Below are 13466 nucleotides of genomic sequence, written 5' to 3'. Positions count from 1 at the left end.
TTGTGAATGCTATTTGACTTGCTACCTCATTTTCTCTTCTTTACAAAAATTAGTTAATATTGATCTCAAAAAGAGCATAATGCAAAGTGAAAGAATTATTATAATCTGAAGACCAGAAAACAAGTTTCTATTACAAAAGTAAGCAATACTCAAGATCAGTTATTTTTAAGCATATAGCACATTGTAGTCATAATTAGCTCACCACCAGTTAGAAATATACATACACATTTTTCAAAATAAGTCTTTTAAATATAGTGTTGCAAGTATCTTTCTAGCTTAAGAATTTGAAATAGCAATTAAGTATGAACCTTAAATAATTCATCTTTATAACTAGAAGAGCAAGTCCCAAGGATGTAAATCTCACCCAATGAGACAAGGGATGCTGAATATATTATTAATTGCTAAGTAATCTCTTAATCTTAGAATCTAGCACCCAACACTAGCAAATAAATAATGTGATTTATGAGCCTGCACTCTCACGCTGCTTTACTAGAGTTCAATAAACACATGCAGATCCTAAATGTACAGTGTGAATGTGATTCCTACAAGCCAGAAAACATAGAAGGATTTGGCTATAGCAAATCTACCCCATCTACTTATTATTCAAGCACTAGTATTTAGAATACCTAAAATTCCTGCTGAACACTGCGGATCAACGTCCCCCTGAGGTTCTCCAAAGCAGAACCACATCTCTTCCCCTCAGTGCTTACTGAGTTTTAAGAAGGCAGGTAACATGGGGTAGAAATTCTCGTGCAGCAGCAATATAACTCTTCTCTCCCAATTTTCAAAAATCAACACCTCCTCCCCATACACACGCACACACACACACACACACACACACACACACACACACACACACAAGAAAGGAGGGCTTTTTAAATAAGTGTTTAAAACATACCATTTGCATGGGTGTGAAAAATGTATTTTTCCTCTACTTGCTGTTGTTGTGTAAGATATTTACAGATCTGACTAGAAAATCTGGATGTTCATAGGAAGTGTTGCTTTCAATGAGATTCCTTTAGTGAAATCTGTCCGCACAGACACATGTATACATAAATAATACATATTTATGCACACATGCCTACATTAACAAGGACACATGCACACGCACCTAGACCAATAATTAAGCCCACACTGTTCTATAAGCTCTTTTTGACATTTTTTGCATACATGTTAATTCAGAAGACAGATTTTTAAAAAATAATAAGCAGCTGCATATAATGCACATCAAAGTGGCACGTTTAGAAAAGCAAATACATTACCAGACGCATTTTGAAGTTTCTGGAACACCTGCAGGTGAAAGGAGACTGGATCGGATGCTGGCACACTGTATTCCTCAGAATCACAGAGCGCAATGTGACTGTGGGGGAATGTGAGGCGAGTGTGAGGCTGGAAACCTTTGAGTTGAGCTCACTCTAGGCATCAGAAAGCCTCAAAGAGGGGAAAGAAAAAGGCAGCCCACAGACAGCTAGATGAGAAACTTCTGGCACCTCTCCAGCTCAGGAATGAATTCTCTGTAATTTGGAGACGTATAGTGATGGAAATGAAGAGAAACTTGGATTTACGGGTGAATTTGCTCAGCCATGCAGAAACAGGCAGGTAACAGCCTCTCAGCTCATTTTAAAACAGTCATTGAGAAACAAGACTGAATCAAAAAATTAAGAGGCATCCTGCTTTTGAAAAAATGAAAAGGCTACTCCAGCCAGCTTCCCTAGATACCTTTACAAACTTCAAATGGATCATTCCATCAGCTATTTGTTGCGCATTTTATTAATCCCAGTGCAGAGGTAAACTGGAAAATCTAATTCCTTTTATGTAGAAAACTAGATTTATTGCTTCTTTTTATAATGCACTTTAGACATATAAACACATAGATTTACTTGCAGAGTTCTCGTTTCTCATGTAAAACCACTACTGTTTGGTCCAGATAAAATGCTAAAAGGCTTGTTCACAGCTTTTCAAGGAAGTGGAGAAAAAAAAATGTTTAATACTCAGAAGCTGAGCTGAGTACTGATATTTAAATGTACAGTTTGAAGCAAAGAGAATATAAAGGAAGAGCCCTGAAACATTAAGTGGTAGCTAAGAGGTACGATTATATACAAGCATTGAGCAGGCAGGTGGCTTAAGTCTATAAATTTATACATAATTAAGCATAGGAAGAAAAGAGATTTGGCAAATTAAGTTATTAGAGACAATAGCTGTTATTTTGTTTAGGTTTACAAATAGGCTAATAATTTCTGAGGAGTGCACGTGGACATCACCTTGTCTGAAGAACTCCTAAACCTCACAAATAGAGAGCGAGGTCGAAGGCATTGCACAGTGGCAATCTATATTCAAATGTAATGAGGAGGAGGACAATATTACCATGAAGAATGTTGTCATATTACATTGTGCCTGTGTGGCTTAACTACTCATCCAACCTTGCAAATGGCCATTTGCCTGGACTCAATAGCAAACGTGCTATTGATGGGTGGGAGGAGGTGGGAGGCTGATTTTATTTGTTTTACCAAGGACACTCCTTTGGGAGGTTCGGGGATAAAATGCCTGGGCTGAGCATGGGAGTCATTCTGTTCAAGGCCACACATGCCTATAGTAAATTTGAAGTGGAATTAATGATGACCAATTAAGCTATTTATTATTTTAACTCTTGAGGTCAAGGGCAGAACAGTATTTATGTTTATTGATAAAGAGTCAATGGTCAGACTGCTGCAGAAGGCCAGACTCACCTTTAAGCACGCTCGATTGATACGTATTGACCGAGGCACCGCCAGTCCCCCTCACATTCCACTGCTCAGGCCTGTTTGCCTAGATTCTGTTCTTAGCTCTCCACTGCCATTTGTTTCATCCATTTGTTCAACAAATATCCACTGAATTACACATCAGATGCTGTGTAGAACACAATGACCCTTAAGATGAGAACTCCCTCAAGGGGCTTACCATTGTCAAATAGTACCACAAGGGACTCAGCAGGGGATGGACACAACAGAATTACTTACAAAATTCATGCTCACTGCCATCTCTTGCACTGTGGATTACCCTAGGTAGCATGAGGCAAGCAGAGTTCGGACATGTGTTTTGAAATTCTCTCCAGGCGATTCTGATGAAGTCCTCCCTCTCACCCATAACAGCAGCTGCAATTCAAAACTGCTGTTACAGAGCCTTGGAGTCTTTCAAGGAGGAAGGCATCCCATCCGCCACTGCCTCCAGACTCAAGCAACACAGCTGCTCAAGCTGACCTGCACTTCTGCTCTTGTGGATCCCTCTACCACAGGAAGGTCTGGATTTCCTTGGTTCACCCAGAGCCTGAGGGCACAAGGCTGAAAATGGATTTGGAAGCCAAAGCTGAAGGCAAAAGAAACCCCAAATCTTTTGATTCATTTGTATAACCTCTCTGGGCCTCTGTTTTGTTTTGGTTTGATTTTAATCTGTAGAATGAGAGGGACGGGCAGGCTTTGAGTCTATATATCCTCTGCCAAAACATAAGAGGAAGTCAGTTCTGTGGCATCCCGGCCCTATGCAAGAGCACACCTGAGACAAGAACTCAGAATTTCTAACTTAAAGGCACCCAGGCAGCAAGTCAAATCTGGTCCCTTCTGCCTGAGGAGCGAGAGTCCCAGCATTCTTCTACCCTTCTTCATGGGAGGACCACTGAGGAATTTGCATGAGAAAGCACATTATCTGCCAATTCCCTTCATCCTTTGCTTCAGCATCTGCCTCAGCTTCAGACCCAAAGGACCTCCTAGTGAGTAGTAGATCCTGGCATCTTCAAGCAAGGGGTCACATGCTGCCAGAAGCCTGGTTACCGCCCGGCTCCACCACAACAGATCCTCTTCAAATGAGTGTAAGAACCTGAGGAGGGGGTTCAGTGCCCACAAGAACAGCTCTATTCCTAAATCTCTGGTGGTGGCAGAGTGTCCCATGTCTCTCCTCAGAAACATAAGAGAAGAATATGGCCACAGCATCCTCCACAGCTGGTCTGCCTGCCCCCTGCCCAAACTGTCAACACCGCCTGATCTACATCCTGCAAGCTCATCCACAGTAAAAATAAGAAAAGCTCAGAATAGCTCAGAGCAGAGGGTTCACTCTGCTTCCCCCACTCCACCTGACTGCCCTGCACTCAGCACTACCTTCACTCACTCAGGAAGAGTCTAACCTTCACAGGTACTGTCTTAGTCTGTTTTATGCTGGTATAACAAAACACCTGAGACTGGATAATTTATATTGAACAGATATTTATGAGCTCATGGTCCAAAGGCTCAGAAGTCTAAGATCAAGGGGCTAACACCTGGTGAGGGCCTTCTTCCTGATCATAACATGGTGGAAGGATGAAGGGCAAGAGACAGTGAGAGAGAGAGAACTGAACTCACTCTTTTATGACCGCACTCTGGTGATAACAGCATTAATCCATTCATGAGGGCAGAGCCTTCATGGTCTAATCATCTCGTGTTAGGCCCCACCTTCCAACACTGTTGCATTGGGGATTAGGTTTCCAACACGTGCTTTTTGGGGGACACATTCAAACCATAGTATTTCACCCCTAGCCCCCCAAATTTATGTTCTTCTCACAGTGAAAAATATGTTCATCCCATCCCAAATGCCCCAAAGTCTTAACTCATTTCAGCATCAGTCTTATCTAAAGTCCAGAGACTCATCTAAATCAAATACAGGTGAGACTCAAGGCATAACACATCATGAGGCAAATTATTTCCAGCCATGAGCCTATGCAATCAAACGAGCTGTCTACTTCCAAACTACAATGGTGGGACAAGCATAGGATAGATATTCCCATTCCCATTTTATGAAGACAAAGCTCATCTGACCAAATAAATGTAATGCAAACCATTTAGTAACTTTACTTAAAAAAAAATGTGTTTTTCAATCTCCTCTAGTTCTCTATTAAGAACAAGCAGAAAATCCTGACATTGAAACACCAAGAGATAAATGTTCAAAGGTGGTAGCACCAACAAGATTATTGGAGACAGATAGGTCCAAGTTGAAAGACTGCATTCTCTATTTAGTAGCCATGTGTCTTTGGGTAAACCATTTAAATTCTCTCATACTGTTTCATGCTCTATAAAGGAAAAAAAAAACACCCTATCTTATGAAGTTCCTTTGAGAGTTAAAACTCTGAAAAGTACTTGGCACATCATAAGTCACTAAAGAAATAGTAACTCCTAATAACCAAAATTTCTAATTACCTTTGATATTCCCAATAGCCTGAAAGCTCCATGAGGACAAGGACTATGTCTTAGCCACCTTCATATCCCATCCTTCATATCCAGAACATCATGGGCCTCTACATCCATTCCAAAAATGTTTATTGCCTACCTACTTTCACTACCACATTCTGAGGTATGTGCCAGAGACATGGCAGTGAACAAACAGGTGTAGCTCCTGTTCTCATGTGGTTCACAGTCTATTGAAGAGATCAATGTTAAGTAGTGCCATAAATGACCAAAAATCATAAATGAATTAACTAATTAGTTAATAATAATCTTCTTAGCTTTTTATTGAAAACAACCCAGACAATGTCAAGGGCACAAATGGAAGAAAATTTGTGACTGCTTCAGACAATTACCTTTAAACCTGGGGGGCTGATGGTCTGTCCCTCATTAAGTGGCAGGTCTCTCCCAGGAGCTGTCTCCTGAGACCTCTCAGGCTAGGCCAGGCAACCCTTTGATCTGTTCACAGTCCCTTATCCCACCGGCAAAACGTTCTGGTTCCTGGCTTCACTGTTTTACATCCAAGCTGTCTGAAATGCAATAACATTTTTTAAAGAGCAACAAGGATTTTAATTAAAGTTCCAGGGATCCAGCCAAGGATATTTTTCTAAAAGAGAAGCAATATCTGTTTTTGGAGACAGAACATTTCATAACAGAGATCTCATATACTGTGATGAATGACAAATAGTGACATGGGCTATATCCCCACAGAAGCGTGTATGCATGTGTGTGTATGTGTACTTGTGTGTTTAAACTTATCCTGCCTAATGACGACAGAGACGGGGAGACAAGCGCACTCTAGTTATTTAAACCATTCAGATGTTTAAGGCAGACAGTTAATGGAACAGCATAAGGGCCTTCCTCTTAAGGGTAGGGGATTACTTTTTGTTCTCTCTGATGATTCCCTTTGATTTAAAAGGCTTTGGCTACAAGACTCTCAGCAAACAGCATTAGATAAGAATTCAGCTTCTACAAGTGCTGATCAGCAGATGTCTATCACACACCTAAATCCAGGGAGGGACCACAGGGCATACTGTAATTCCATGCCACTTGCACCTGGGGGTAAATGGATTTAAAATTAAATGAAACCCAGAATATCATAGCTGGCAGTTTGGCAAGATTGTTCCACCTATGGGTTTTGTTTTTTGTAAACTCATGCTTGCTGCTTGGCAAATTGTTGATAATCCCTGCTCATCAAACCAGTCAGGGGCTGTACAAAGTGAACTCCAAAGCCACCCAGTTTCTTCCATTAACCTGAAAAGCCTACACTCATGTCAGCATGGGCAGAGGTAGGCTCATGTCCATTTCAGGCTCATCTGGGAGTCCCTTGATACTGTGAGCAGAGGCATTAGAGGGAATTCTGTTAGAAGCTGGCAGGCCATGTCAGGCAGAAGGGTTGGAAACTTGGATGTTTCTGGTGTCCACCCATCCCCAGAGGCTTTGGCACTGCCTTGGGGCCACCAATTACAGATGTTTCCCAGGCACAGATGGCTGAGGGACAGACCACCATGGATCTGCTGAGAAGCCTCAGCCAAGGTACTGGCCATGGACTTGGAAGAGGAAGCTAGATGGGGATAGTGAATCCTATTTCCCTGACACTATGGATGTTATTTCTCTGGATCCAAAGGACAAAGGATAAAAAGGTGATTTTATGAGAGCGTGATAGCGCCATGCTAGACAGACATCTCCACCCTAAACACTTACTCATCTAAGGGAAAATTGATCTGATTCCCCTTCCCCCCAGCAAACCATGAACAAGTAGGCTAAACTGTTACTAGCCTATCTTTTTACATCAATTTTAGCTGGTGATAATAAATACAAAAATCACAAGAAAATATAGTACATACGCACACATATGTATCATTCTATATATATGGCTATACCTTTTGCTATAAGACAAATATATTTTTGTCTTTAAGTGACAACAACAGGTGACAATACTTTTAAGCCTCGAAAGGCAAGCCAGTGGACATAAATGAGAGCAATGCGCAAACACCACCCACAGAAACCTAAGGCATGGGAAGTGAGTAACTAGGGGCCAATTACCAACTCAGAATCAAAAAGTAACATCTGTGTGGCTCACTGATTCTCAGATTGTACAGCACACTGGGGGCTTCCACAGCAGGCACAACTGACCCTCATGACAACGGAAATGGATCCATGTGCCACCGGTGTAGGGGATAAGCACTGGTCAGAAGGATCTCGGTTGTTGTTCCATCACCTACCACTGTGACCAGAGCCTTAAGTCTCCCATCGCTACAGAGGGACCAGTGTAGGAGGAAGTAGTGCTCTGCCTGCTTTACAGTGTTGTTCTGTAAAAACCACATTATGTATGCCAATTTGCATACCAAGTGAAAAGCAGTACACAGATGTATTGTATCCATACTGCCCAACCTCAGCCCAAGGCATCAGAGCATCACCAATAAATCACTACTGTTTTATCAGCATAATGTCCTAGCAAAAAGGAAAGTGCCCATAAGAACCCTAAGAGGGACTCTGTGTATGGAGGATTAAGCCATATGAAAAAGAAAGCAAAAACATCAAACATCCCCCATGCCTGACAATGCAGCCCAGTCAGGGGTAGTACACTTCAATTAAGTGCTAGGCTTACAGAAAGCCTTGCAGATTGACTATCAAAGTTCCTGCTCAACTGAACTGAAACCTTACAAAGTGGCCACCACTAAGACTCACCAAGGAATTCCTCATATAAACAGTAGTCGATGTCAATTAACCTTTGTGAACACGAAAAATAAATGGAAAGGTTGAGGAATTAACAAGGAGACAAACACAGATGCCAGGCGCAAGCATGATGTTACTGTAAATGGTACAATCACATGGTGGTTAATTTTAGTGTATTATGAATGGCTCTCATGATAAAAGACATTCTCTAAAAATGGAAGTGAATTAGAAATAAGGACTGAGTCAAATTCATATCTTCCCCTATAGCACTCTGATTTGTCCCACATCTGCAGTGAGAGTGCAAATATTTAGTAATACCATAGTGGTGCCTTCTGAATGTTTGAAGAATCAGTAAATATACTGCATTCAGCTCTGTATCATTCAACTTCTTTAACTGAAGATCCAAGCAAAATTAATTAAATTCATAAGTTATGAAAATATCTTCCCCCTAAGGGGAAAAATATTCATGGAGTACAGAATGGACTGAGAACATCACTGGGTCCAATATTAGCCCTAGGGCAATGATGGAGCTTCCCACCACTCCCCCTTGGCTTAGCGTCCTTCTATTCATGTCCCCACCTCCATCCTGCAATAGCTGGAGCCTCACAGGCGTGTGTATGGACAATCCAGAAGACAAGTCTATTACTCTTCACACCACTATCCAATGCCCACAAACACCCTCATTGCACACCCTGTGGGCCTGGATATGTGGACACTAGTTATGTACTCACACCCTCAGGATTTTAGACCCAGGCCATAGGAGAGAGGTCTTCACAGACCTTGGAAACAACCTGAGAGTCACTTACACGGGGACTTCTGGAGTCTGAGTTACGGGACCACGCACTAAAAAGGGGGCCAAAGACTCCAAGTGGGCATGTCCTCTTGATTCCTTGAATCCTTCATACCATAAGGAAAGCCACTGACCAGAGAAAGCCACAAGCCAGGCCCTCTAAGATACAGAGTCAGGGCAGGGCAGGGATCCTGGATGCCTGGGTCTAAGGAGGTACTTATTGAACCCAACACCCTTCCAGGGGAACTCTTTCCCCGCTGTGATTCCCTTAATGGTAAAACTTGATGAGCAAACAATCTATATCCATGGTTCTATTTATCCATTAACTTTTTTGTTAAAGCCTTGATTTTTGCCATCCTCAGATTATAATCTGCGTCTTTACCATGTAGTAAAACTATTTTCACTAAGAGCACCTAACTTTCTTCATATCAAATTTGTTTGCCCATTTAATTTGAGAAGTAAGTTTTTTTTGTTTTTTGCTTTTAACTACTAATATCATTCTCCATCTAGACCTTATCTAGCCTTGCTCTTTGCATATGTGCCCTTGATCCTAATCCTATTAGACTGGTGCAAAAGTAATTGCCATTACTTTTAATGGCAAAGACCACGATTACTTTTGCACCAACCTCGTGGTCTTTGCCATAAAAAGTAATGGCAATTACTTTTGCACTAACCTAGCATTTCCTCTGCACCTACTTTTCTTTCTCTTCCTCCTACATCCATTCTTTGCACCAGGGATTCTTTCAATTTTACACAAAAATGTTCATCTATTTCCATAGTTAGCAGCTCTCAAACTGGGGAAACCGATTTTTTTAAACACTTGATGCTCATCTTCTCTATAAAGTATTTCTACATTAACCCCACTAAGAACTAATCACTCCAGATAACACACAATAATGCTAAGGTTGGGGTTCTATCTTTGTACAAGTGAAATGGAGGAGAACACAGAGATGGTAAAGGGGGTTCCTCTTATTTGCCAAACCCACTGACTAGTATTATGTATTCCTAGAGTGAGTGATGTTGCACACACTTTTGATGTGCACAGGAATCATCTGGGATCCTGTTAAAATGCATATTCTGATACAGTAGAGCTGGGTGGGCCTGAGAACGAGCATTTCCAATAAGCTCTCAGGTGACGCTGATGTTATTGATCAGCGGGCCACACTTCAAGTTCCAAGTGCCTAGAGAGCTATTTTACAAATTTTTCTGAGTATGAGTTTGGATGTAGTAGTAGAGAGTGTCATGATTGATTAGTAATGCCTGTCACGAGCACAGGAAGAGTGAATGCCAACATTGATCAAATTATTCAGTGATTCACTGATTTATTCAACACACACCTATTGATTAACAATGTGGTACACAGTATGCACAGAGTAGAGGCAGAAAAAGTCACTGTCTTTGCAAAGCTTACATTATAGTAGGTAGAGGGACAACTGAAAAGCAAACAAGATAATTTTATACAGTAGTAAGTGTTGTGAAGGTGACGTAGGCAATAAACAGGTGATGCACAGAGAGTAACCGGAGAAAGCTACTTCCAATCTTACAACCAAGGGGTCAGAGAAAGCCATTCCACTGAGGTCATGGTTAGACTGATGCCTGAAGAATGGAAACATCCCAGATATAAGGACATTAACGGGACAGCCTTTCACCAGGAAGAACAGAAAAAAGCAACAGCCCAGAATCAGAAAGGGGACCACACCGCTGCATATTTGCCATTCTCAGATAGTAAAAAAAAAAGCACAGACTTTAGATTCAGGCAAATGTATGTTCTAGTGCCAACTGTCCCACCATGGACAAGCTATTTAACCCACTCTTTACTTTTTATTCTTAATATTCTTTATTTCTTGCTACCTTGTCAGAACTTTGCTAGATGCCAGTGATACAATAGTAAAAAAGATAGATGTGATCCTGCTCTCATGAAGCTTCCATTCCAGCCCTGTAAACCTCTTTCCTTATCTATAAAATGGGTACAATAATACTGACTTGGTAGAGTCATCAAATGAAATGACATTTTGAAAAATTTAATGTATAACACTTGTCACCAGTAATTATTAGAATCTCTCTTTTCCTTATATATTTAGAAATATGTTAACAAAGTTCATATGTCATTTGTGTATTTAAGATTTGTCTTTTGTAATCTGTTTTATATTTCTCCTTAGATTACAACATCTTGAAATTAGGAAACATAATCCTTTACAGCTGCTTGTCACCTTAGAGAGCACTTCACTCATGCAATTGTTCAACAAATATTTAACCAAGTGCCAAATACATACATAGGTAAGTTGTTTAGCAATTGTGTTATATATATTTTTTAAAAACTGGAGCAAGCTAAGAGGAAGAGGGAATGATGAGGAAGGGAGAAATGTTATTATACCTAAGGGTGGCCACAGGAGGTCTCACTGATAAGGTCACATTCAGGCTGAGGACTGAGGGTTGAGGGTGCAGTCCATGTGAGTTTCTGAAGAAGGATTTTTCAGGCAGAGGACGCAGCAAGTGCGGAAGTCCTGACTGTCTAGTGTGTTTGGGGAACAGCAAGAAGGCCCATGTGGCAAATTCCTTCATTTTATGAAAGAAGAAATTGAGGCCTGCAGAAATATCTTTGGCAGACCCAAGTGTATCAATTACGTTAAACTTAGCTGCTGTAACAGAATTAACAAGGATTCAAACTTAAAAGAAGTACATGTCTTGTTGAGGTAAATTATTATACCAGTGCCCCAGGGCACCACAGGACTCTCCTCCAAGCACTGATTCAAGGACCCAGGCTCCTTCCATATTATGTCTGCCATCTTCAACATGTGTCTCCCAGGCTCACATTGTCAGTCTCTTGTGTCTGATAGGGAGAGATTATGGAGGATCACATATAGGAGGTTTGTAATAGGGCCAGACTGGTGGACTGTGGGGTACATCACTTCTGCTCACACTCATTGTCCATAATTTAGTCACGTGGAGCCACAGTGGAGCCTGGGAAATGCAGTCCAGCCGAAAGACGAGAAAAAGGAATTTGGTAAGCAGCTAGCCAGTCTCTACCAGGCCAGCCCTCTTCCTGCTAGCCCTGTGTTTTCTTGGTTTGCAATATACATATGCATCACAACAAAATTGCTTATAAAGTGGCCTCTATGTTAATGATAACTGGCCACTAGTAACAGTGACAAAATGAGACCAGAAATAGAGAATCCCTAATTATCTGCTGCCAGCCAAAACAATTCCATTGGTCAAGAAGTTTAATGTTACCAAAATGGGAGTAATGGTGAAAGAGATATGATGAATTGAAGGTATTGATGCAGACTCAAACAGGAGACAGTGTGATGAGAGGGGAAGCGTGCATAGACAGAAAATCATATCACAGCCCCTACTTCACCTGCCTCCATAGGTTCACAAGATCTAGCTGTAACTCAATAACCAGTTGCTCTCTGAATTTCCTCATCTCAGCTTTTTACATTAGCAAGATTGTTGAGACTCATATGGAGATTACATAAGCAAAAATAAAATTGAGGCATCATAGTTGTTACAAAATTAAATTATAAATAATGGAAAGAAAATATCAGTGTTAGGGAGGCAAGAAATTAGAGTCAGACAATGGAATTGGATTACTCTGTGGAAAGTCTTTTTAGATATCAAAAACAGTTTAATTAAAACTTTCAAAAGCAATACACATCTAAGAAGAACATGATTACTAGAGAATAGGTCGGGATGTAAATAGTCTCTAATGAACAAAGTATATGGTTCAAAAATTCTGCCCTTTCATCTTAAACTAACAAGCCAAAAAAAAGCCTTTTTAAAAATAGCCTTCTATAGTTGTAAATTTCTTAGGATGGGACTAAAGTTATATAATTATAGTCAAATGAGCCCATCCCATGTGAACATGTACAATAATACCAGTATCATAATTAAATCAAAGTTTTGAGTGAAAGAAAATGGTTCAGATACTTCGACAGAAAATGTTACTTAAAATGCTATTAGTCTGGGTTTTAATACTCATTAATGATTAGAAAACATTATATCAATTAAATCCACTATTGATTTTAAATTGAGTAATGCAGATAACAACTTGAAACCCCCTCCCAAAACAAATAAAAGTCATGAAAATATTTGAATAATATATAGCAAAATGTTAGGAAAGTATCTATCAACTTGGAAAAAATAATAAAAGCTGAGTCAGTATCATTTCATGTTAATAACTATTTGCTGACTCACTGTGAGTACTTTATGCTGACCACCTCCTGCAAATGGCCCTATTAACACTGATATCTGAGAATAGTCATAATTTCTCCAAATCTGGCCATGAGCTTCTAAGCCCTATTTACATCTGGTATCAGATTTTTCCTTTTACAAGGACAGGTTAAGGATGATATGGAGAATTGCCATAGATTTGGAGCCATGTTTGATGGAGTTAGCTAAGTAGTAATGGATAATATAGGGGCAAGGGGTATACACAACACAAAGAGTTCTTTCTCAGAACTCATTACTCTTATGTCCTGTTGCACTGATTTGCCGATTAATCATTGATCATGTGCTGCCTGTGACATTTCTTGTCTTGTCAATCTGTATTAATACATTATTCTTATGTTGCTTTAATTTCCTCATCTTGCTTTCCTAACACTGAGAACAGAAAGCATATAAAATATACATTTTAACTTCTTTGAAAAGCACTTTTGCACATAGTAGGTGACAACTTGTAATATCTGTCAGTGCAATGAATGATTCATAATCTGTGAATCATTTTAGATTAGTCCACCCCAAATTAAAATTAGGTCAGACCAAGGTAGAATATAATC

At 40.2% G+C, this 13466-nt stretch overlaps 2 protein-coding genes across 7 annotated transcripts in view, besides 1 other annotated feature; both read right to left on the bottom strand.

Moving 5' to 3' along the window:
• IQCJ-SCHIP1 (IQCJ-SCHIP1 readthrough) overlaps positions 1-1385 on the bottom strand; it is an 828041-nt gene extending 826656 nt beyond the window's left edge. For 3 of the 4 annotated variants that reach the window (NM_001197113.2, NM_001414413.1, NM_001197114.2), the window contains exon 1: positions 1263-1385. In NM_001197113.2, the coding sequence (NP_001184042.1) occupies positions 1263-1271 (9 nt within the window). In that variant the 5' untranslated portion in view covers positions 1272-1385. Of the gene's footprint in view, positions 1-898; positions 1039-1262 lie in introns of those variants that run through there. The other variant, NM_001414414.1, reaches the window with a different exon arrangement.
• The window catches only part of IQCJ (IQ motif containing J), a 196989-nt gene extending 195604 nt beyond the window's left edge, over positions 1-1385 (bottom strand). For all 3 annotated transcript variants that reach the window (NM_001042705.3, NM_001197100.2, NM_001042706.3), the window contains exon 1: positions 1263-1385. In NM_001042705.3, coding sequence (NP_001036170.1) covers positions 1263-1271 — 9 coding nt within the window. In that variant the 5' untranslated portion in view covers positions 1272-1385. The remainder of the gene's footprint in view (positions 1-1262) is intronic.
• Positions 7520-8053: an enhancer, noted in NCBI's record as "OCT4-NANOG hESC enhancer chr3:158780440-158780973 (GRCh37/hg19 assembly coordinates)". NCBI's record gives its function as "activates a minimal SCP1, AML or CMV promoter by ChIP-STARR-seq in naive and primed H9 embryonic stem cells {active_cell/tissue: H9 hESC(naive and primed)}" and the evidence as "EXISTENCE:reporter gene assay evidence [ECO:0000049][PMID:30033119]".

The sequence above is a fragment of the Homo sapiens genome, chromosome 3 (assembly GCF_000001405.40).
Source record: "Homo sapiens chromosome 3, GRCh38.p14 Primary Assembly".
NCBI classification, from domain to species: Eukaryota; Metazoa; Chordata; class Mammalia; order Primates; family Hominidae; genus Homo; species Homo sapiens.
This window is presented reverse-complemented; position numbering and strand designations above follow the sequence as displayed.